Source organism: Homo sapiens, chromosome 6 (assembly GCF_000001405.40).
Source record: "Homo sapiens chromosome 6, GRCh38.p14 Primary Assembly".
Classification (NCBI taxonomy): Eukaryota; Metazoa; Chordata; class Mammalia; order Primates; family Hominidae; genus Homo; species Homo sapiens.
In genome coordinates, this window is record NC_000006.12 from 3,617,183 (window position 1) to 3,643,305 (window position 26,123).

General features: G+C 45.2%; 1 long non-coding RNA gene across 10 annotated transcripts in view; it reads right to left on the reverse strand.

The window, feature by feature from the left end:
* The window catches only part of LOC100507336 (uncharacterized), a 126,588-nt gene that overhangs the window by 23,693 nt on the left and 76,772 nt on the right, over positions 1 to 26,123 (reverse strand). For 4 of the 10 annotated variants that reach the window (NR_187649.1, NR_187645.1, NR_187650.1 and 1 more), the window contains one exon: positions 16,837 to 16,877. The exons of 5 other annotated variants lie outside the window; for them this stretch is intronic. This is a non-coding gene — a long non-coding RNA (uncharacterized LOC100507336). Of the gene's footprint in view, positions 1 to 14,743; positions 15,008 to 16,836; positions 16,878 to 26,123 lie in introns of all 10 variants that reach the window. One more of the 10 variants, NR_187648.1, reaches the window with a different exon arrangement.

Genomic DNA, 26,123 nt, shown 5'->3' on the forward strand with positions numbered 1-26,123 from the left:
GCTAAAATTTTACAAACGATGAAGGCACAGCATAGTGCTGTTTATTGGAAATGCGATAATAAAATAGATTTATTTTATTATCCACATTTTAAGCAGTTTAACTTGTTTATGGCTGGCAATAAATTTCGTGGTCTGGAAAATGACACTTAATGACTGAATGTCATAAATCCCTTGTTTTGAACATAAATATATTTCATATTTATTTTTTTTAAATTGCCGCCTCTGCTAAATAAATGTTGGATTACTGTTCAAGGAATATGGGCTCACAAGGGGCGCACATTATTCTCAGGGTACTCATATGTCTTGGAACTGTGCCAGGGCACAGACAGGCGGAGCCTTCCCTCATTTGGGAAGAGATGGTGTAAGCCTCGCCTTTCAACACAATGGCCCTTTCCCTGTCTGCTGCTTGTAGGGTGGGGGTGTGGAGGGAGACTGAGAAGGGAGAGAGGAAAGGGAGACAGAAGCCCCTTCCCTTTATAGGACCTCTCCGGGCTGGGTAGCCCCAGGGGAATCCAGTTCCACAAAAGGGTGCAGGGGAGAGGCACAGAACCAGTGCCGTGGTCACCATGCTCCTGAAACCCAGAACCCCGATTTGGTGTGGACAGCACCTGGGTCTGGGCCCTGCTTTCTGGGCATGGCTGGCGGTGATTTCTGCATGTCAATTCCTGACCTCGCTTTCGACATCTGTCTCTCCGAGACCTCCAACCCCAGCCTGGAGCCGCCGTGCCTATTTCTGGAATCTGAGAGACCTCAAATTCCAAAGGCACCGTGAGAGTCTCAGGACTCAGCCTTTCCACCCTTGCCGGGGTGACTCGTGGAGGGAATCGAGCCTAAGTCTTACGGCACGTTGTGCAGTTTGGGCCGGGGCGGAGGACCAGGGCCCAGCTGAGGCTGGCCTTAGTGACTCAGCCTTGATCCTGCCACGGTGACAAGGGTGGGAGGGTTCCCGCAGGGGTCCAGCTCGTGTCTGTGAGAAGCACCTTCCCTTCAGGGTCGCACGTGGACCGTGGCTGCTACCACGCTACCGTTGCCTTCAGTGCTCTTTTGCAGGAGTGCAGACGGGCAGTTCAGCGCGGGCCCCAGTGCCGGGGGTGGGGGGCAGGGAGCTCCCGCAGGGCTTTGCTGAGAAGGGGCATAACCATGACCCACTGGTGATGTCTGTGAGGTGGAGGCAGTGGTTGCGGTGAGATTCATAGCTCATTTACCACCCCCAGCCCAAGGACAGGATATTTTTTTTTAGAGACAGGGTCTTGCTCTGTTGCCTAGGTTGGAATGCAGTGGTGTGATCACAGTTCACTGCAACCTTGAACACCTGGGCTCAGGCAATCCTCCCACCTCAGGCCCCTGAGTAGCCGGGACCACACGCACATACCACCATGCCTGGGTAATTTTTCATTTTTCTGTAGAGACAGGGTCTCTCTATGCTGCCCAGGCTGGTTTCAAACTCCTCCAGCCAGGACCCCTTCTTTTTTTTTTTTTTTTCTTCATCAGCCAGCTAATTCAAGGCTGGGGAACATTCCATTTCAATTTTATTGAAAGCTCAGGAGTAGCAAAAGGGAAACAAACTCAATCACAGTCACAGGGCAGCCTGACTTACAGGTTAGAGAGCAAGGCTGGTACTCCAGGCTAAACAGGGCCTGTCTCAGCCTCAGTCCTAGCGTGCTTCCAGCGGGTGTTGTCAGGATAGCAACCTAGCTGGAGAGACAGCCCTCCCCTCTAGTTTCACTGACCAGAATGGAGCCAAGGGCCCAAGGGGAATGGTATAGAAGGATTGGCTTCTTCCAGTCAGAAACCCCCTCCCACCCACCCATCATAATGGGCTTATCCTAATAGGAACCCACCCCCACCACCACCATGATTGGCTTGTTCTATTCGGGCCTCACCCATGATTATAATTGGTTTTATCTTAAACTGGGCTTACCCAGCACCAAGCATGGCTTAACCTAAGCAGGATCTTCCCCACCCCAGACCTCTCTGGGTGGAGGAGCATGAATACCTGAACTAGGTGGAGATGTTAGGAAAAGGAAAGGCCATAGGGACTTGAAGAGGGAACAAAAGACTCTAGACTTTGGCTCCCTTCCAGGCAAACTGTTCCCCCTTAATTCTGATTTCTGGAACCAGGAAAGGAGGCTACTCCTTGTGTAGATCATTCTCTTCGGATACACCCAGTGCCTTTGGAGGGGAGCCTATTTCTGGGTGGGGGAGTGGAGGGTCATTATGAGGGGCGGGGGTGGCCATGGACACCGCGAAGCAGGGCCTGTTTTATTTGCCATCGACACACTGTTTGGGCTCCCAGTCCTCTCACTTGAATCTCCAGCTCAGCTCACAACCACACACATCCTTAGCAGGAGTGTCCCAGAGCACAAAATCTCTAGCCGCCTCTGGCAGAAATCGGCAGCATCTTTGAAGGAAGAAAGGTGTCACAAGCATGAAATCTGTGTATTCAAGCGGTGTTTGAGAATTAAAAGAGGTGAGGATCTTTTTCCCCTCTTAAAAATGCCTAACACTCCGCATCATCTAATTTTTAAATAAAGCTGTTTTTCTACCACCACGGAACAGAGGTGAGGCTTCCCCTGGAAAGAGGTTTCCAAATCTAAACAGCTGGCGTTGTCTCAGGGAAGCAAAAACTCAAGTATGAAGAGCATCAGGAATCCTCAGGGTGGAGAGGAGCAGGGAAGTCTTGTGAGCCTTTCCCCTGCCTTAGCCATTCTGAATTTCGGCTTCTCTCCTCTTCCCACCTTGCTGACAGACACCACGGGGTCTCTAAGTGGGTTTGATCATCTCTTGCCCAGGGGACCCGAAGAGAATGAAGCACTCTCTGGTTTGGGCACGTTCCAGGTTGGCTGGTCTTGTTGGTTTTGCTATTTTCAATGATGTTTAAATGCATAAAGAAATCCAAACAATGGAACCATTCTGAAGGGAACTGCTACACAGGAGGGGACAGTCAAGACTGAGGTCCACTGACCCTGAGGCAGGCAGTTAGATCACCTGAGGTCAGGAGTTTGAAACCAGCCTGGTCAACATGGTGAAACCCTGTCTCTACTAAAAATACAAAAATTAGCTGGGAATGGTGGCATATGCCTGTAATCTCAGCTACTGGGGAGGCTGAGGCAGGAGAATCACTTGAACCCAGGAGGTGGAGGTTGCAGTGAGCCAAGATCATGCCATTGCACTCCAGCCTGGTGACAGAGTGAGACTCTGTCTCAATCAATCAATCAATCAATCAATCAGATAACAGTTACACAGACCTCCCCACTCCATCCAGTTCCTGCCCCAACTCTGAGAATGCGGCCGGCCAGCCTCCAGGTCACAACCACAACCACTGCAAAAAGATGTTTACATTGGAATATGGTATACACAAACACCATGCACGCGCACACACACAGGCACATACACATATGCACACATACTTACACTCACCACACATGCGCACACACACAAACACATGCCACACACATGCATGTGTATACACATCAACACACACATGAATACACACATACATGCATGTACACTATACACACATACATACGCACATGCATTCTCCATGCACACACACATACCACATGCGCTTAGACACACCACATAGTCAAAAGTGTAATGCGTGCTGAGACTTCCTATTCTATTTCACCCACCTTCCAGCCTTGATTTAAGAGCTGGTCACAACCCACTAAGTTGATTTCATGAGCTACTAAAAGGGTCACAACCCACAGCTTGAAAAATATGTCTGTAAGCCATACCAGGATAATCAGATAAAATTGGGCCCAGGCCATTTCCTAACATCAACACCTGCAGGACTTCCTGGTCTCTGCACGTGGAAATGTCTCCCACCCTACACAGGGGGTGCTCAGCCTGTCCTCCTGGGAGGGCCTCACTGCTTCTTGATCCTCATGGATTTGCCCTCCATGGGTTCCCTAGGGCTCCCTGCTCCCCAGGCCTCACCAGCCTCAGCCTGCACTTGCTCTGACAGCTTCTCTCCTTCTCTAATTGCCGCCTCTCACTCATGACACCTCCACACAGCTCAAAGTCCTGTGAAAAATGGCTGCACCTCAGTCAGTCCTCATTTAAAACCTGGATTCCTAAGATCTATATTTGGCCTGAGAATGCTACCTCTGCCACAGTTAAGTTCTAGGACACCGAAGTCTCTTCTTCACACCATCACAGAATTTGTTCAAATAATATGAACAATTAAAAATAACAATCTGGTGGTCACTGCTTTGCTCTTGAGTAGCTGACAGGCTGTGACAGAGCCCTTCCCGGAGCTTTGACCCAGTGTTTTGAAGCTCGGATTCTCCTGTGAGAGCACAAAGTGTCTTGCCTGGCAAATTGCTTTGAAGTCTCCTGCTATATCCAGGAACTCATGCACATTTTGCTTTCTTCTCCACTGGCCAGCCCTCCCTTCTAGTCTCACTGACCAGAATGGAGCCAAGGGCCCAAGCGGAATGGTCTAGAAGGATTGGCTTCTTCCAATCAGAAGCCCCCTCCCACCTACCCACCATAATGGGCTTATCCTAACAGGAACCCACCCCACCACCACCATGATTGGCTTGTTCTATTCGGGCCTCACTCATCATTATAATTGTTTTTATTTTAAACTGGGCTTACCCAGCACCAAGCACGGCTTAACCTGAGCAGGATCTTCCCCACCCCAGACCTCTCTGGGTAGAGGAGCATGAATACCTGAACTAGGTGGAGATCTGCTAGGAAAAGGAAAGGCCATGGGGGTTTGAAGAAGGAACAAAAGGCTCTAGCTTCAAGAACCCAAATTGCCAGACGCTATGAGGCTTAACTTTTTTTTTTTTTTTTTTTTTTTTTGAGATGGAGTTTCGCTCTTGTTGCCCAGGCTGGAGTGCAATGGTGCGATCTCAGTTCATCACAACCTCCACCTCCCAGGTTCAAGAGATTCTCCTGTCTCAGCCTCCTGAGTAGCTGGGATTACAGGTGTGCGCCACCACACCTGGCTAATTTTTGTATTTTTAATAGAGATGGAGTTTCATCATATTGGTCAGGCTGGTCTCGAATTCCTGACCTCAGGTGATCCTCCTGCCTTGGCCTCCCAAAGTGCTGGGATTACAGGCGTGAGACACCGTGCCTGGCTGAGGCTTAACTTTTATATGATATTCTCGCTCCATTATTTTAGCTATAAAAGGAGGGTGATGCTTCTTCCAGGATATACCTTACCAGTTGTGGTCTGAGATCACCTGAAGTATGGAACATGTAAATATTTAACCCCAGGTATTGGTTACTATTCTTCTCCCAAGAACAAAATTAGACATTCTTGTCTATACTATACGGTGGTTCTTCAACTTCAGATTCATCTGGGATAATGGTTTACAATGCACATTCGGCATCTCACTCTCAGAGAGTCTGGCAAAATAGTCCTTACTTCAACTGCTTAACTCTCGAAAGCTCTCCCCGTTATGGCCAAGCCACAGTGGAGTAGGCCTTCCAGTGGGAGTCACGAGGAGTGATTCCTTTTCAGTCAACTTCCACAAAAGATGCAGGGAAGAATGAAAATGTTTTCATAGCAGAGCAAGTGTCAGAATAAAAACCTCTCTTTCAAGGCACTGTATGTACCCAATATTTGACGAAGAGATTGGAGTTGGCAGTTGGTGATGTTGAAGAAACCGTGGTGATATTTTACAAGATTGCCATGGAGAGGCTGGGTTTAGCCGGCGGGATTCCTTTCCCAGCTCTGTCTCTGATTTAAAGATGGACAGAAGATAAATACACTGAGCTGCCTTGAACACAGCTTTGATTTAAAACCCCATGATTTGGAGAATTTCCTCCACAGTTAGACCGACATCTTCGTGCCCTTTGAGAACTTTATACAGCCAAGGTGTCTAAAGTCGGAACTTGAGCTTCAAGGCTAAGCACCGTGTGTGAGTTTAAAAGGCAGAGGCGAGTGCTTAGCTCTGTCTGCTGCAGACGGTGACCCTAATTTTTAAAATTGTGGTAAAATAGACATAACATAAAATTGAGCATCTTAAGCAATTTTTTTTTTTTGAGATGGGGTCTTGCTCTTATTGCCCAGGCTGGAATGCAGTGGCACAGTCTTGGCTCGCTGCAACCTCCACCTCCCAGCTTCAAGCAATTCTCCTGCCTCAGCCTCTCAAACAGCTGGGATTACAGGCACGCGCCACCACGCCAGGCTAATTTTTGTATTTTTAGTAGAGACAGGTTTCAGCATGTTGGCCAGGCTGGTTTCAAACTCCTGACCTCAAGTGATCCGCCCCCCTCGGTCTCCCGAAGTGCTGGGATTGTAGGCGTGAACCACCGCGCCCGGCCTCATCTTAAACATTTTTAAGTGTGCCGTTCAGTCGCGTTAAGTACATTCACATCGTTGTGCATCCGTCACCACCACCCAGCCACAGAACTCGTTTCATCTCCCCAAACTGAAACTCAGTCCTCATTAAAGAACATCTCCCCACTGCCCCTCCTCTCAGCCCCTGGAAACCCCAGTTCTACCTCTGTGTCTCTGAATTTGACGACTCTGGGTCCTTCCTCTGAGTGGAATCATGCACTTGTGACTGGCTTAGCATAACGTCCTCATTGCGGCTCCCCCATGCTGCGGCGCGCGTCAAGATTTCCTTCCTGTTCAAGGCTGCAGGACATTCCGTTGCATGGCTAGACCACATTTTGCTTATCCATTTATCCATCCGTACACACCTGGGTTGCTCCCACCTCTTGGCCCTTGTGAACAGGGGTCTGTATTTTTAGCAGGCATCTCAGGGACTCCATCGCCTGCTGTTGGGGAAGCAGTCCTGGTACAGCAGGAAAATTAAACAAGATTGAAATGTTCGGAAATATCTCATGTGCAGCGGAGTAATGCTTAGTGGTGTTAAACCTTGTGTGTGTCTCTCCTCGCCCTCCTCACCCCTGCCTTTTCCCTCCCACTCAGGCATCGGGAATGCTCTCCTAGGCTCCCTGCACTTGCCCTGCGGTTGTCGCAACAGGAAGGCGAGAGCAAAAATAGAGTCAACGCTCAGATTTGAATTTCAAGAGAGGCTTTAAAAAACCTCTTAACAGAGGCGATGGTTTCAGAAGAAAAGACTTTTAGAGTTGCAACAGCCTGGGTGTCTTTCTTTTCAAAAGCCCAGACTCAGAAAAAGCGAGAGCATCACGATGCCATGAGTGACTTGGGAAAATCAGAGAGCTAGAGAGAGAAGCTGTGAAGCCCACGGCCTCCCCAGACTGGGGACAGAGGACTGTGGCTGGCTGGGTGGGGGCGGAGGCAAGGGAGAGCCTGAGGGGAGAATGCTAGAGTCCGTCCATGCGGCTGGGCTGTGGGCAGGGGGTTGCTCCCTGTTCCCTCATGAGAGCTGAAAGTGTTAAAAGAAGGGTGAGAGTTCTATTTCTCCTACCGTTTAAATTCTGGGATCCAGGTTAAGGAAGGTGAGAGTTCTGTTTCTCCCGCTGTTTCAGTTCTGGGATCCAGGTCAAGCTTTGCTGAAGACAGCTGTTCCGCTTAGTTACTAATGACTTGCAGCTGAGTCCCTGAGAGCTGTTTCTCCTTTACTTTCAAGGTGCCTCAGGGGACCCTGCCCCATGACTTCCACAAAGGACCCTGTATTCGCCCGCTAGGGCTGCCCTACAAAATACCACAGACTGGGTGGCTTAAGCAACAGCCATGTATTATGCCTCCAGTTCTGGAGGCCGGAAATCCAACATCAAGATGTCAGGATTGGTTTCCTCTGTGGCCTCTCTCCTTGGCTTGTAGACGGGCGTCTTCCTCAGGGGCACTCACTTGGTCTCCCTCTGTATGTGTCTCTGAATTCTATTAGGACTTTGACCTATGAATTTGGGGGTGGGGGTGGGGAGGGGACATAATTCAGCCCCTAGCAGGAGCCATAACTGAGTTGAGGCTGTTTAGGATGTCAGTTACACTGCCTGAAGCCTAAACTCACTCTGGGTTTCTAACCTGCCACATTAAACATCCTCTGGAAGCTGGCTGGAATTGCAGAATCTCAGGCCCCATCCACACCCACTGAATCAGAACTGGCATTTTAACTAGGTCCCCAGGTTACTCACACCCAATTAAAATTCAAGGAGCATCATGAATTTTAAACAACTCTCCCACTCAGGAGCCCAAGGGAATTCCACAGCTTCACACCAGCAAGGCAGCGTTTAAATCGCCACTCATGGCAAACCTGCCAGGGCTGAGCTGCAGAGGCAGAGAAGCCTCTGACTTGTCCGAGTGTGTGGAGATGCATCGGCCCTGCAGACTGCTATAGGGCCCCCCGGTCTTGGAAACAGAGGCAGCCGGGGGGCGCCACAGCTGGGAAGCTGCAAGAATGGGAGAGGTTATCTTGACAAAGTCAAAAGAAGCTTAGTGATGATACAATAGGGCCCCCAGATTCAGCATGTGAGAATATAAAGTGATATTAAGGACACACTTATCCTAAAACCTTATTTGCTGTTTATCTGGAATTCAGATGCAACTGGGCATCCTGCATTTTGTCTGGCAGCCCTGCCGCCGAGTCCCGACCTCCTGCATGCTGTGTGGACTCTCTTTTCTCTACCTCACCACTCACGCATGCTGCTCTGCCCTCCTCCATAAAAATGGATGAAACAGGAGCATGCTGGGCATGAGGAATACAGAGTAGTGGCCCCGGGAACACTAGGATGCCTGTTCTTTCAGTCCATACTGCTGGCCTGGGACAAACTCCAGCAGCAGCAGGCAGGTGTGAAGGAACTGGCCACCTGGTCGCCTGCATTCTCTCCAGCCCGGGGCCCTTTCCCACGCCCAGCCTGCCAGCTCTCTCCAGCCTCCACAGGCGGCCTTCCTCACCACCCTCAGTGCACCTGGATCAAAGAAAGGCAGAGATGCCCACATGGGACTGCATACAGTTCTCCAAAATTCTCCCTTCTCTTGCATTCAGCAGAGACATCCCACAGTTATTAAATGCCTTAAATATGGATATCACCAGTGCCACCCAGGAAAAGGATGGTTTCTCACGGAAGACTCGCCATCTCCCAGTGAGCACAGCGTGGGTGTTGGCATGGTAAGTGAATGAGGGAACTTCTGGGGCTTGAGGAAAGCCCTGGAAGCAGAGGGGTCTCTAGGCCAGTGCAGTTGTTCACAAAGGGAGCAGTATCGGGAGAGGGGGACAAAAGGCACCCGGGGGGCCCCCTGCAGCCCGGCGCCTGCTGCTGGTTGTCAGGTAATTGTGGTGTTTCCAGCTACTCAGCGTGTGGCAAGACACCCCTTCCTTTGCTGCCTGCGGCATCCTGGGAGCCAGGCTACTGGAGAGACCCAGCCAAGTGCCTCGAGAGCTGAGAAATAAGGAGCTACGGAATGTTTACATGAGAGGCCATGCGGGCTATCAAACCAGTCATTTTAAATACCTACAGATTCAACCGTATCCTGGGTGCTGCGGAGTTTGTAGAAAGATGATTTTTAAAAACGGTCCCTCTCCTTACGGAAGAAAGACAGCACACTCACATCACTAAATCCAAACCAGGACACTGGCTATAGCACAGCAATCCTTTCCCAGGGGCCACATGCAGATGTGGGCATCTCCCTGGCAGGCGGGATGCGTCCCAGCTGAGTCTTCTGTCCTGACTCAGACCAAAGAGCCTTCTCCCTTGACAGGACATCCACTTATTCTGGCAGTTGGAAAATAAATTTTTTTTTCCATTGAATATGGGCATGTCCAGTGTGTGATAATGCTGGACCACCTTGTTCATACAATGCCTAGAGCCCTTAGTGTGGAATATATATAGATATAGATATAAAATATATATATATACATTTTTATTTATATAAAAATTTATATTTATATTTAAATATATATTTTATATATTATATATATTCCACACTAAAGGCTATATATATTATATATTTTATATATAATATAAATATTATATATAGAAATATATATTTTATATATTTATTATATATTTTATATACATATATATATATTTGACAGCAAATATACATATTTGAGACAAGTTGTGGCTCTGTCGCCCAGGCTGGAGTGCAGTAGCGCCATCTCGGCTCACTGCAACCTCTGCCTCCCGGGCACAAGCCATCCTCCCACCTCAGCTTCCCGAGTAGCTGAGACTACAGGCATGTACCACCACACCCGGCTGATTTTTGTAGTTTTTGTAGAGACAGGACTTTTCCATGTTGCCCAGGCTGGTCTCGAACTCATGAGCTCAAGCAGTCCACCCGCCTCAGCCTCCCAAAGTGTTGGGATGAAAGGCGTTAGTGCAGATTATGCTTTATGCTTCCTGAAAATTCTGTAAAACATAATGATTCCCTTTATACATTCTGCAGATTAAAAGAGTTAAACAAGAATAGCCCCATCTTTCCACTGCACTCCCATACTCCCTTGTATATGCATGTGTTGCAGACGTTCCCCTGGGCAGGGCGTGTAGAAGACTCAAGGGCCAATGAGGTTTTTGAGGAGCACGGATGCACCCTTCAGGGCTGTGTGAATGAAGGGGAGGAGTCGGTGAAGAAAACACCGGGAGAAGGTGGTGTCACCGTTGCCAAGCCAAGAGAGGGTTTTGTTGTTGGTGGTTATTTGCTTTTACAAGGAGGGGACACTGCCACAAGATGGTCATAGACTCAGGAGTCAGGCTGCCTGGTTTCTAATCCGCACTCTGTCATCTTGCACAAGTCACTTAGTCCCCATTAGCCTGTTTCCTCACGAGGGAAGGAGGAGAGTAAAAGGACCCATAATGCCAAAAAGATGTGGAGGAGACGCAAAGTGCTGCGAGGTGGGAGCTGTTGCACCTGGCCCCGGGAAGCACCCCTGAGGCTCCCCTTGCAGGCGGTGTTCTCAACAACCTCCAAAAGGCGGGAGGTGACAGGGACAAAACTCCCCATACTGTAACCTCGCTGTTCATGCACAAGCCAGGTCTCCGTAATTAGAACAGGAGTTTCAGGAGGACACAGACAAGGGGGCAGAGACAATGCCTTATTCATACATAATTGGCACTTAATAAATGTTTATGGAACACGTAGCTGAATAGATGAATGGATGAATAATTAATAACAAGGACGACTGCAGCTGAGTGTCGAGTTTTGTTCCCAAATTGGACGCACATGGAAATGAAAGGAGATCTTCATTTGTGTGGTGATTATCTAAGTATTTGTCCTCTCCCGCTGAGGGTTCCAGGAAGCAGGTTGCAGAGGGCAACAGGAACAATGCCACACCTGTATTCCACGGAGGAGGGATGTTCAGGTGTTAGAAAAAGAACCACAGGCAGAGGTCACGCATTCAAAACCAGGAAAAGGGCCAGCGAGGCTTTGCTTTGGCAATGCCAATTATACTTTTTTAGTCCAGAAATATTTAGAGAAGGATTCCCGCATTGTGCTTTTAAAGTCATTTGTTATTAGCGTCACAGAAGTAAAAATATCTACTGGGACATCTGCCCAAACTCCAAAAGACAGGGCTGAGGAGACAATGTGAGTGGGTGTGACTGTGGTTACGTTGAGTAGCTGTATGCTGTACCCGCTGCCACTCAAGCCCCACCAGCAGAGGTGCCCCCAGCTTAATAGCACAGAGAAACCGTTCTTTTCAAAGGGGCCGGGGTTGCTGAGCAGTTTCCTGCCTTTTATTTAAAGCTTGATTTCCTTTGTAAAAAGCGGTGCATAGGCCAAGAGTGCCTACGATGTATTTTTATTTTTAAATCTTGAACATTTCAAGTTGCATACAAAAGAGGGAGGTTAGAAGGAAGGTGAGGATAGGCAAGGGAGAAACACAGAGTCATGGATGGGCTTGCCAGCGCTGGAAAAGATGATTTAATGAAAGGACCATTAAATGGCAGCCTGGGCTGGTGTCTCTGAGAGTGGAGCCAGGCTGTCTTCCTCATCCAAGCGAGTGCAGTGAGATTCCTGGTATTCCACTTGTAGTTCCCACACACGTCTCATTTCCAAGCACCAGCAGCAGACAGTAGAGAGGAGCTGCCGTTAACATCCCTGTCTCGGAGAGGTGGGTAGGGGGACGCTATCTCTTTCTCAGAGATGCTGGAGAATGACTTGCCTAATTGCCTGCAATATCACTTTCCTGAAACCTATTTCTGATTGCCAAGGGCCTTAGCAAACGGGGGTTCCCACCAGCACTCCCTCACACGTCTTGCGATGTATTAGTACTCGATTTACCCCTTCAGTAAGGTCAATGCAGGTTCTTAAAACAGAGATGATTAAACACAACTGAATCTACTAATTTTTATTTTGCCGTGACAGTGCAGTCCCTTTTAATTTTTACCCGGGCACCTGTGAGTTATTTAGGAAATTTTTGAAATGCCACCTTGTATGAGAGAAGCTACTTAGGTGTTTCAGCATCTCTTCAGAAGCCACCGTGGAACTTTCCAAGAATAAATTAACACATGCATATATTTTCTCTTCCATAAAGATAAAATGCAAATGAAGAAAATCCAATTCAAATTAGTTTAGGCAAAAGAGCAAGTTAATGACTCTTGCTATCAAGGACAGACATAGAGTTAGCTTCAGGGATGACTGGATCCAGGATTCAGATGTCCCAGGCTCCCCTCTCTCCCTCTCCTTTGTGCTTCTCTCTATATTGTAACCCATCCCAGTTCCACTCTAAAAATTCTAGAAATGGGCCGGGCACGGTGGCTCATGCCTGTAATCCCAGCACTTTGGGAGGCCGAGGCAGGCAGATCACGAGGTCAGGAGATCGAGATCATCCTGGCTAAGATGGTGAAACCCCGTCTCTACTAAAAACACACACACAAAAAAATAGCCTGGCATGGTGGCGGGCACCTGTAGTCCCAGCTACTCAGGAGGCTGAGGCAGGAGAATGGCGTGAACCCAGGAAGCAGAGCTTGCAGTGAGTGGAGATCGCGCCACTGCACCCCAGCCTGGGCGACAGAGCGAGACTCCGACTCAAAAAAAAAAAAATTCTAGAAATGGACCTTTGCCACCTGGGATCAGAAGCCCACCCCTCAGTTAATCACTAAACCATGGAGGCGATGTGAGAAGATGGTGTCTGCTACCCCTATCATAACACAGAGGAGAGGAAAGCCTAAGAGGAGAAAAGTGCAGGGCAGACAGAGGAATAATTGTCTTGTAGTACCCACATCTCTCCATTCTGCATTTTTGATGTTTTGACATGTTGGGGCTTTGCTGACCCTAGAGGGACTGTTCCCCACTCCACCCCAGGACTAGCTAATCTGTGGAGATGGCAAACAATTACACTACTAACACACCTTTCACATACAAACCAGCTAATCCCAAATCCACGCCTCCAACCAACTCCCTTATCAGGACCTCACACTCAGGGCCAGTATTTGCCTGCCCTGAGCCCCCAGGGCCATTAACCAGGGACAGCCCCTATGGCCCAGAGCTCTGAAATTATTCAGCCTGGCCCCATTCCTAAGCCCATGCACCCTGCCTCCCTGTTCCTCCCTGCAGAAACCACAATAAAAGCTTTTGCCCAGGATTTCCTCTGCTCTGTCTGCCCCCTGACCAGCCTTGGTGCTTCCTCATGTGGCCCTGCATGGCAGGCTGTGTTTCCTGTTTCTAGGGATCTGTGAGCAGAACAAACTTATTCATGGGAATCATCTCTATGTCTGTGTGTGTTACAAATGCCACGCACCCTTAAAACACGTCCGCTACAGCAAATAGCCCAAACCTGAGGCAGCTGGAGGAACCAGCATTAACTTAACCATTCCAGGTCCCAAGTCCTAAAGTAAGTTTTCGGATACAGCAAAGAGTAAGTAGGAAGTGCATGCAGAGATTGATGGAATCAAAACATATCTAATAAGCCATTTTCTTTTTCTTTTTTGAGACGGAGTCTCATTCTGTTGCCCAGGCTGGAGTGCAGTGGCACGATCTCCGCTCACTGCAACCTCCTTCTCCCAGGTTCAAGCGATTCTCCTGCCTTAGCCTCCTGAGTAGCTGGGATTACAGGCACCCGCCACCACACCCGGCTTTTTGTATTTTTAGTAGAGATGGGGTTTCACCATGTTGGCCAGGCTGGTCTCGAACTCCTGACCTCAGGTGATCCGCCTGCCTTGGCCTCCCAAAGTGCTGGGATTATAGGCCTGAGCCACCATGCCCGGCCTATTGAGCCATTTTCTAAAGACAGAAACACCTCATGGCACATATCATGCAGAAACAGAATGGGAGAAATACAACTGAGAAATCCACTGGGCTGTCGTAATTCCATTGGTAGAGCCCTGTGCTTAAGAAAGCAAACTCTGCACTCAGGCTCCTGGGCTCAAGGCTGGGCTATTCCCTCTGTAGGCGTGAGACCTCAGTTAAGGAACTTTGCCCCTGGAAGCTTCAGTGCCTCCCCTCTTAGATGAAGATAATAACAGGATCTGCTTTCTCATATGAAGATTAAATGAGTCTTGTAAAGAAGGAAAACAGTGCCTGGTGAGTGTTTAATGCTACCTGTTACTATTTCTAATTCTGTTCTTATGCCAAAATGAGTCTTAATACAACGAAATATAATACAGTTTAAATATAACAAATAACATATGACAAGTTTAAATTTTTTAAATGTTTAAGTATACAGTAGTCCCCCCACCACCTTACATGTTCCAAGACCCCCAGTGGATTCTTGAAACCAAGGATAGTATTGAACCTTATATACACTATGTTTTTTCCTGTATATATGATAAGGTTTAATTTATGAATTAGGCACAGTATAGATTAACAACAATAACCAATAATAAAATAGAACAATTATCACAATATACTGCAATAAAAATTAGGTGAATGCGGTCTCTTTTTCTCTCTCAAAATATCTTATTGTGTATTCACCTTTCTTCTTGTGATGATATAAGATGATTCAAATGGCCATGTGATGAGGTGAGGTGAGGTGAATAACTCAGGCGTTGTGACGGAGAAGTAAGCTACTATTGACCTTCTGACCATGCATCAGGAGGCTCATCTGCTCTCGGTGATCCTGGATCATTGAGCAATGACAATATTGATGGGTGGATGTCAGGAGCAGACAGTGTCAATGACTAACAGGCGGGTAGCGTACACAGCATGGAGATGCTGGACAAACGAATGATTCAAGTCCTGGGTGGGATGGAGCAGGATGGCATGAGATTTCATCACACTACCCAGAATGGCATGCCATTTCAAACTTATGTATTGTTTGTTTCTGTAACTTTCCATATAATATTTTTGGACCTCAGTTGATTACAGCTAACAGAAACCATGGAAGGTGAAACATGAAATAAGGGGGAACTCCTATAACAAAAATAATGTTTAAAGCCCCACAGAGTATTTTTATACCTCTGAAAGAAATAAGGCATTTCTAAGAATGACACACAACTCAGAAGCCAAAAAGGAAGACTTGAACAAACATGACTATATTAAAATGGCAAAAAATTGTAGAGAAAAACCACCCTAAGAAAGTTGAAAGACAAATGATGTACTATAGAAAAAATAATTGTGCAACACATATTTTAGACAAAGGGATAATTCCTCTAATATGCAAACCTCTCTAGCAAGCCAGTAAGAAAAGATAAAATAATCCCATAGAAAAAAGTAGGCTAAAGATATGAGCAGATGTTTCTCAGAAAAAAAAGAACCAAGTGGCCCATAACCATATGACAAGATGCTGTGTCAGGAGAGCTCTTGGCTGTAAGTAAAGAGCACCTAACTAACAATAGCTCAAACTAATTTGGGTTTACATTCTCACATACCAAAAAATCCAAACCAGGAAGGCAGGAGCACTTACTGGCATCGGTTCAGCATGAAAAAACACCATGGGGGAACAAAGCTCTTTCTATGTATTTGTTCCTTCACTTTACTCAACACAAGTTGTAACACAGCTTCATATATTACACCCAAGTTCAAGACAAAGAAGAGGGATTGGTTTGGGGCTGAGAGGTGGGAACAAAAAACAGCAAGAGCTTTCCTATCAACCCCAGCAAACTTCCATTTAGGTTTCACCAGCTAGAACTGTGTTCTAAGACCACCTCTAGCCGCAAGAGAGGCTGAGCAACAGAAGATTGATGTGCAATGAATAATTAGGTTGGTTTTGTTCCCAGGTCCTGGGAGGTAACTTCTAAACCCTCGCAAGTTCCCAGGTGATGGGAGTGCCTTTGTTCTTCATGGTGGGCTCCTAGGACCACACCTGATAGTTTATGCTAACAAAGTGACTCAGGATGGGGGCTGGACATGCTAGAAAGACCCACCATATGATAGAGGGTTGGGGTTTTAAGTTATGTGATACCAGATTAACCTCTGGGCAGGGGAGGAGCCTGGAGACTGAGTTAAGCCTCATGGCCAATGATTCAATTAATCGTGACTATATAATGAAGCCCCAAGAAAAACTCTGTGCTCCCGAGCACTGATGTGCCAGGACGGTAATGTGTTCCCGAGGACGATGGAAGCTCTGTGTTTGGAGCCCTCCCAGACTCGGCCCCAAGTGTCTCTTCTTTTGGCTGGCTCTGGTTTGTATCCTTTGCAATAATAAAATTGTAAGTCCAGTGCTGTCAGGGAGTTCTGGACCTGAGGGTGGACATGGGGGGCCCTGAATTTGTAGCCAGCTGGGCAGAAGTGAGGGTGCCCCTGGGACCTCTAAACCTCTGAAGTGAAGGCAGTCTTATGGAGGACTGCGCCCTTAACCCTGAGTTTGGCTAAATCCTGGTAGATTGGCTGCCCGTGTTTCTCAACAGAGCACTTTCTGCCTTTGAGGATGGAAAATTCTTTGTGGAGAGGATTGTTTCACCAGTCATGGGGCAGTTATTAGTCTTGACCCATGGACATGAAATGCCAGCACCCACTCCCCAACACTGTGGCTGCTGCAAACCTTCCCACGTTTCCCAAGGCCTCCTGAGGGGCAGCACCACCCTCCAATAGAGAACCTCCAGCTTCGACTCATCATGATCAATTACCTGGAACCAGGCACGCTGTCCTTCCAAACAAAATCAGGATTCTGTTAACAAAATAGAAAGAGAAACAAATACAAAGTGGGCAACTAGCAATGCTGCCTGGGTGCCCAACTGCCCTCTAACTAAAAATTAAAAGTTGGCAAAATAATGTATCTTTTATTCCCGCAATCGGACTGGCAAATATGAAACGTTTTGAGAATAGCCAGTATTGGCAGCACTGTGAGAAGACCTATATTCTACCTCACTTTTAGCAGAAGTGCACAATGACACAATTTTTCAAGAGCATTTTGCCAATGCCCGTCACAATTTTAACCACAACGATCTAGGAATTTAACTCCTAAGTATGTACCCACAAATTTGAAAACAGGCATTCAAACAAATGCTTTTGTACACAAATGTTCATAGCAGCACTATGCATAGTAGCCCAAAGAGGGCAACAACCCAAATGTTCAATAGATGAATATTTGTGGTGTATGCAGATGAGGAAATATTATGCAGCCACAAAAGTGAATGAAGTACTGATACATGCTCCAATACGGAGGAGTCTCAGAAACATTATTCTAAGTGGAAAAAGCCAGGCACAAAGGTCACATATTGCATAATTGCATTTATTTGAAATATCCAGAATGGGCAAATTTGCAGAGACAGAAAATAGATTGGTCGTTGCCAGGGGCTGGGATGAGGAGGGAAAGGAGAGTAATTGCTTAATGGTTATGAAGTTTTATTTTGGGATGATGAAAATGTTTTAAAGCTGGATAGAGGTGATGGTTGCACGTTATTGTAAATGTACTAAATCCCATTGAGTTGTACTCTTTAAAATGTTGAATTTTACGTTATGTGACTCTCATTTCAGTTAAAGGAATAATAACTTTTGACCTAGCATTTCAGTTTGAGGAATATAAACTCTACATACCTTGCACACATGTGCAAAGAGATATATATATATATATGTACGTGTATATATATACACGTATATATACACGTATATATACGTGTATATATATACGTATATATACGTGTATATATATACGTGTATATATACACGTATATATATACGTATATATACATATATATACGTATATATATACACACATATATATACGTATATATATATACACACATATATATATGCAAGAATGTCCATTATCATAGTGTGTAACGTTGAGAAACTGAAATAACCAAAATTCATTTTATCAGGGTTTTCCTTAAATAATTATGGTATATTTACAAAACAGAACACACACAACGACTGAAAAGCATGGAGTGGATCTGTACACACTGATATGGGAAAAAAGTGTATATTAACTTAAAAAAGAAAGTGACAGATGAGACAGATCAGAATGTGGCTTTCATTTTACGACTGTTGAGTAACATGGGCAAGTCACCTCACCTCTGTGGCCTTGTTCCTCTTGTCCTTAAAGTGAAGATCATAATAGCCCCACTTATATGCTTGCTGCCAATGGAGTAATGCCTGGAAAGGGTGTACCCCGGAGCCTGCCACGTGGCAGGGGCATGATGGTGGCAGTTATTGTTGCTATTTCTCACTAAGATCTGTGTGAGCTGTGCTTTCTTTGGAGGAGACTCCAATTCCAAGCAACATTGCTCCTACAGTCCTGAGCAGCAGCTGCCCTGGCAGAGCCCCTGCACCACGTGCAGACCATCTTGGCTGCAATCTGTGTTGCCTCTAGTGCCCCACTGGAGAGCAACTAGGGAGAATCCACCGACAGGAGGAGTGGGCTCTGCTGCCAATTAGTTGCTTGCTGTCCTCTCTCTCCCATCCCTCATGACACCCAGGTGCTCTTGGTGTCTAGTGCCAGCTCCAGTTTGGCAATTAGAGGCTGGTTTGGTTATTCTCTACTGGGGTCTCCCACCAGCTGCTGCCTCAGTGGCCGCCCTGGGTGAAGAATCCTCCCAGCTCCAGTCAGGGCAGAGGGCAGGGTCAGGGGCACGCTGGTTCCACAGAGGGTCTCCCTACAGCATGGCCAGGTGGCACACTAGGTGCTGGAGACAGTCCCAGAATAAAGAATATCCTTTTCCGTTGCATTAGAACTTTCGATATGTGAGAAGTATCCTTGGCAGCCACACGTTCCATGACACGGAGCAGGGGTTTCAAAAAGGTGGCCAGGTACTCCATTATTCACCTTCCCTGTGGGAAACCAGATACGGAGGCTCTTTTTCAACTGCATGGAATTTTCCAGCTTCCAGTGTGGCTTTGTGTCACATGTTAATTATTGGTTAGTATCTTAGCAGAGATCAGCAGACCTGAGGATGGAAGAAAGGCAGGAAAGAAGGCACTCGCCCGAGGAGAGGGGGGATGGAGACAAGAACACCCATCAGCACGGCTCCAGGAAATCCTGGGCTCACCCTGCGTCTCAGCTGAGCCCCATTGCATCCTTCATCTTCATATCAGTAAGATCTGGTGATACCTACCCACCCCACAGGACAAGATGGGGGATAAAGTGAGACATCGGTTGTGGATATTTTTTGGCACATGTAAAGTGACTAATGTTATTGTTCATTATTTATCATTACTTTTTTTTTTCTTAAGAGACAGGGTCTCACCATGTCACCCAGGCTGGAGTACAGTGGTGTGATCATAGCTCACTGCATCTTCAAACTCCTGGGCTCAAGCGAGCCTTCCACCTTGGCCTCCCGAGTAGCTGGAACCACCAGCACATACCACCACACCCAGATAATTTTTAAATTTTTTGTAGTGACAGGGTCCCATTATGTTGTTCAGGCTGATCTCAAACTCCTGGGCTCAAGCAATCCTCCCACCTCGGCTACCCAAAGGGCTGGGATTACAAGTGTGAGCCACTGTGCTGGCCATTTGTCATCATTGATACTAAGTTATCATTCTGCCTAAGACTAGCCCCAAGCAGGCCGCTCAAAATGATTTCCCATGTGTCTCAGGATTCAGTTTTGTCAACTCTTTTTTGGGGGGTTGGGGAGCACTGTAAGCATGAGGCTAAGGGCCAGGACCAAACTTGTCTCCTGTCACCCAGGAGCCATTGTAACATGTGGAGTGAGGACACCGCCCCAACTTAACTCCTGCAGGCTTCACTCCAGTGCATCCCCAGGCCTGTTCTGAGTCTCCGTGCATTCATTTCACGATGCATTTGTTCCAGCAGAGCCAGCGAGCCTCAATCCTTCTTAGGAAAAGATGTGCTAGCTTCTTGTAATTCAGGACCACACAGAAACAGCCCTGAGCCAGTGATAGGAAACTCACATGAGTCCCATGCATTGTGGTCTTGGCACGACCTGACCTGCAGCCCTAGCCTTTTCCTTAGTCAGCTCTGCTCCTAGATTATTCTGGAACCATGAGGCTAACAAAGTGGAGGTTCACTCCCCTCTCCTACCTGACCACTGGTTCATTCAGGGAGCAAGGCCAACAGCGTTCATGGTTCCATGTGAAAAACAGGGTCTTTGAACTTCTCCACTCCTCAGATGAGTCACTGGGATCCTGCAGCCTCCACAGAGCTTGGGAGTCTGCAGCTCCATGGTGGAGAGGACTCCACGGTTTCCAAGGTCATCCTTCTCACTAAGTAGTGAATTAAATGGGTTGGCAAAGCAAGAAGTTTTACATTCCAAAAGTCCATTGCCTGCTGCATCTCTCTTAGGTAGTCCTAGATTTTGCATTATTAACACATGTGCTCTTGAGAGTATGAACCTAGGGGAAGATGGGAATTTAAAACCATGTGTAAAGGTCATGTCATGACTTCTGGATGTTGTTCTTAAAAATGGAACTGGATGCTTTCAAATCAGGCAATAATTTGAATACAAGAATCCTTAATACAAACGAAGATTATAGATCCAGAGAAGTAAATGTGTTTAGTTATATTTAATATATTTAGCAGCTTCTTAAAGGCAGTCATATATGAACTCCAACTTTTCATTATTGTTGTTTGTAAATTTGCCTGTACTTCCGGAGCCTTCCTCTTTAAATATTACACATTACTCGCTCTGCCAAGAAAATATTGAGGCGTCAAGGCTTCTGTTTGGGAAGCAAGTTCAGACCCCCCAGATAAACAGCTCTTAGCTGTGAAACCAGTGAGATTTCTCTGGGTCCCATTTTCCTTCTCTGGCTTGTGGGGATAACCATAACCAGCCAACCAAACCATTGTGATAATTAAGGGATATGCCTCTAAAGCACCTTGGGAATTTAAGACCGTTTACTAATGTTGCTGGTTAGGAGTAAAAATAAATGGCTGGGCTGGGAGCAGGGCAGGGGGAATGGCTGCTTAATGGGTATGGCTGTTTCCATTTGGGGTGATGAAAACGTTCTGAAGCTAGATAGCAAATGGTGCACATCACTGTGAATGTACTTATTGCTACTGCAATGTACCCTTCAAAATGGCTAAAAAGGTCAATGTTATGTGTGTTTTATCACAATAAAACCATTTTTTTAAAAGAATTAAAGGTCGAGCTTCCACTTCCATCTATGGCCGAGCAGCTTGAATCAGACCAACTCTTCTGCTGAGAAAAACTATAAAAGCTGGATACTATATAGAAAAACTATAAAAGCTGGAGTAACTGATGCAGTCAGGGTTTAAAGGCCAAGATCTCAGGGGAAAAGTAAGTGCACCGAGGTGAGCCTGACACTCTCTACTGCTTTTCACCCTAAAGGATGAAGATGGAAGACTTACAACGCCAGGACCAAGGTCGATTATAAAGCTCTAATAATAAGGTTAGCGTAGCACAGGATGGGACAAATAGACCAGTGGAAGAGAACAGAAAGTCCAGAAAGTAGCTGTGTACATATACACATATACTGGATTTAGACAAAGGAGGCACCACAGAGCTGTTGGGGAGAGATAGCTGAGTGAATTAGATAAACATATGGAGAAATAACATCTTGACCACCCCCTACCTCACACCATACACACAAACCAATCCTAGCTGGACCAAAGGCTTAAATGATGAAAAGCAAAACAATACAGTTTCTGGAAGACAGCGCAGAAGAATATTGTCATGATCTTAAAATAGGAAATGTTTCTAAAACAGGACACATAAAGGAAATGATCAATTGGACTCCACTAAAGTTAACTCTTGTAATGATCATTTAGACTGTATTAAAGTTAACTCTTGTTCATCAAATGACACCATTTAGAAGAGTGAGAAGGCAAGTCATAGAATGGAAGAATATGTTCAAAACATATGTAAGACAAATGACTCGAAACCAGAATACATTTTAAAAAGCACTTCAAAGAGCTGAGAAAAGACAGTCCAATATTTTAAAAGATGGGCAAGAGATTCTAATAGGTATTTCACAAAAGAGGCTCTCCAAGTGGCCAATAAACATAAAAAAAGGCAAAAATGCAAGTTAATACCATAAATAAATACTACTACATACCTGCCAGGATGGTTAAAGCAACAAGAACTGAAAATACTGTGTTTTGGCAAGAAAATGGAACTACTGAATGATGAAACATTGCTGTTGGGAGTAGAGTTTGGCCAACCATTTTAGAAAACTCTATGGCAACTACTAAAACAGAATGTTCTAAGTATATCTTCAACAAAATGCCTAGCTATGTGCTCCAAAAGACATATACAAGAATGATTATGGTCAGACTGTTTGTAATAGCCCCAGAAAGGAAAGAGCTCAAATGTCCATCAAGTATAGAATGCACACAAATACATTGTTCATATATTCCTATTAAGGAATACTCTATGGCAATAAAAATGAACTTCTATAAGCAAAAAATAGATTAATCTCACAAGTATGAGGCTGAGCAAAAGAAGCCAGACATCAAAAACACAGCCAGTCCGATTCTACTTATATAACATGCAAGATCAGACAAACTCATCTGTGATGCTAGAAGTCAGAAAAATGTCATCCTTGTCAGGGGTGGTGAGTGAGAGGGCGAGGAAAGCACTTCTGTGGTGCATGCGGGCCAGGCTCTATTTCTCATCTGTGTGGGATTTTATTGCTGTGTTCACTTTGCAAAAATTCATGGAGCTGTGTACTTACCATTTGTGTGCTTTCCTTTTTTTTTGCTTTTGCCTTTTCTTTTCTTTTCTTTTTTTTTTTTTTTTTTTTTGAGATGGAGTCTTGCTCTGTTGCCCAGGCTGGAGTGCAGTGGCATGATCTTGGCTCACTGCAAACTCTGCCTCCCGGGCTTAAGCAATTCTCCTGCCTCAGCCTCCCGAGTGGCTGGATTACAGGCGCATGCCATCATGCATGGCTAATTTTTGTATTTTCAGTAGAGACAGGGTTTCACCATGTTGGCCAGGCTGGTCTTGAATTCCTGGCGTCAAGTGATCCATCTGCCTCAGCCTCCCAAAGTGCTGGGATTACAGGCATGAGCCACCGCGACTGGCCTGTGTGCTTTTCTTGATATATGTTACACTTCAATAAAAGTTGTTTAACTTAAAAATAAACACATAAGAACAAATGGTTTTCAGAATACACACAGGGGCCTCCACAGAAAGAAGCATGAGTGATTTTTGAAAATCTTTTACATAGCAGTGTTTTCTGGGTTTTCTACAACTAGAACACTTTGTTTAATCAAAACTTATTAAATACATCCTTTAATATTATATTTTAGAGTAATAATGACATGGACACGTAGATGACACATTAAGTTGAAAAAGAAGATTTCAAAAACAGTAGGCTCAGATGCTTCAACATTATAAAAGTCATGTATGAAAAGCCCACAGCTAACATCATGCTCAGTGGTGAAAGACTGGAAGCTTTTCCTCCAAGATCAGTAACAAGACAAGGATGCCTACTTTTGTCACTTCTATTTGACATAGTACTAGGAGTCCTAGCTGGTGCAATTATGCAAGAAAAAAAATAATAAAAAGCATCCAAATTAGAAAGGAAGAAGTAAAAGTATCTCAGTTTGCAGATGACATAATTTTATATGTGGAAAACCCTAAAGAGTTTATTTTTGAAAACCTGTTAAAACTAATAAATGAATTTACCAAAGTTGCAGAATACAAAATTAACACACAAAAATCAGGTGCACGTATATACACTAACCACAAACACTTCGAAAAGGAAATAGTTCTACTGGGGAAAAGACCTGAATAGACAATTTTCCAAAGAAGGTATTCAAATGGTCAGCAGGTATATGAAAAAAGTGCTCAACATCACTAATCATCAGGGAAACAAAAATCAAAACCACAATAAATGCCTCACACCTGTGAGGATGGCTAATATCAAAAAGATAAGAGATAACAAGGATTGGTGAGGATGTGGAGGAAAGGGAACCCTTGTACACTGTTGGTGAGAATGTAAATTCATACATATAGTTTGGAGGAACCTCCAAAAATTAAAAATAGAATTACCGTACGACCCAGCAATCCCTCTATTGGGTATACACCCAAAACAAATACAATCAGCATCTTATGCAAACATCTGTGCTTCTATGTTCAATGCAGCATTATATACAATAGCCAAGATATGTGTCCACTGATAGATGAATGGACACAGAAATTGTTGTATATATGCATACAATGGAATATTGTATTCAGCCTTTAAAAAAAAGAAGATACGGCCATTTGCAACAACATGGATGAACCTGGAGGACATTATGCTAAGTGAAATATGCCAGGCACAGAAAGACAAATACTGTGTGATCTCACTTATCTGTGGAATTAAAAAAGTTGAACTCATAGATGTAGAGATTAGAATAGTGTTTACCAGAGGTGGGGGTGAAGGGGATAGGGAGATATAGGTCAAAGTGTACAAAGTTTCAGTTAGGTAGAAGGAATGAGTTCTGGAGATCTATTGTACAACATGGTGACTACAGATAACAATAAGGTACCATACATTTGAAAATTGCTAAGTCAGTAGGTTTTATATGTTCTCACCACAAAAAAAAAGTATTTGAAGCCATGGATATGTTAATTAGATTGATTTAGTCATTCCATAATATATACATATATCAAAATATGTTGTACACCATAAATGAATACAACTTTTTAAAACATTAAAGACATGTAAGAAAATAATAAATAAATATAAAATGGGCAAATGACTTGAATAGACATTTCTCTAAAGAAGATATACAAACGGCTTACAAACAATGAAAAGATGCTCAACGTCACTAATCATTGGGGAAATGCAAATCAAAACCACCATGAAATACCACTTCAAAGCCATTAGTGTGGCTACCATAAGAAAAACAGGTATTAACTGTTGGCAAGAATGTGGAGAAACTGAAACCCTTGTGCACTGTTCTTGGCAATGTAATATGATACAGCCACTGTGGAAAATAGTACGGCATTCCTCAGAAAATTCAACATGAAATTACCATATGTTCCATCAATGCCACTTCTGGACATATACCTACAAGAACTGAAGGGAGAGTCTTGACATATTTGTATACCATGTTCTTAGCGGTATTATTCACAATAGCCAAAAGGTGGAAGCAACTCAAGTGTTCATCAAAAGATGAATGGATACACAAAATGGGCATACACATACAGTAGAATGTCACTCTGCCTTAGAAAGGAAAGAAATCCCGTCATTTGCAACAACCATGTGAGCCTGGAGGATATTACGCTAAGAGAAATAACCCAGATACAAAAAGATAAATACTGGGTGATTCCACTCAAATGAGGTTCCTAGCGTGGTCATATTCATAGAGATGGAAAGTAGAAGGGGGGAGTTATTCGAAGCTAGGAGGAGGGAGGAAGAATGAGGCGTTACTGTTTACTGGGTATGAAGTTTCATTTTTGCACGGTGAAAAGCGTTCTGGAGATGGAAATGGTGATGGCTGCACAACAACGTGAGCGTTCTTACCACTCAAGCATACACTGAAAAAAATGAAGACAGGATCCCAGCACTTCGGGAGGCCAAGGCGGGCAGATCATGAGGTCAGGAGATCGAGACCATCCTGGCTAACACGGTGAAACCCCATCTCTGCTAAAAAATACAAAAAATTAGCAGGGCATGGTGGCGTGCGCCTGTAGTCCCAGCTACTCGGGAGGTTGAGGCAGGAGAATGGCGTGAACCTAGGAGGTGGAGCTTGCAGTGAGCGGAGATTGCACCACTGCACTCTAGCCTGGGAGACAGAGTGAGACTTCATCTCAAAAAAAATGAAGATAGGAAAGTTGATGTTGTGTGTATTTCAACTACAAGTTCAAAACCCCAGCAGGCACTTACAAACTCAATTTGATGGGGAGGGAAGGATTTATATGCAAAGAAAAAATATAAGAGATCATAAACTAAAATGAAAATTGTCAAGCAAGATAAAGAAATAAGGCAAATTGTTAACAATCATTGAATCCATGGGGTAGAAATATCAATGTTTGTCACATTATTTTTCAACCTTTTGGGG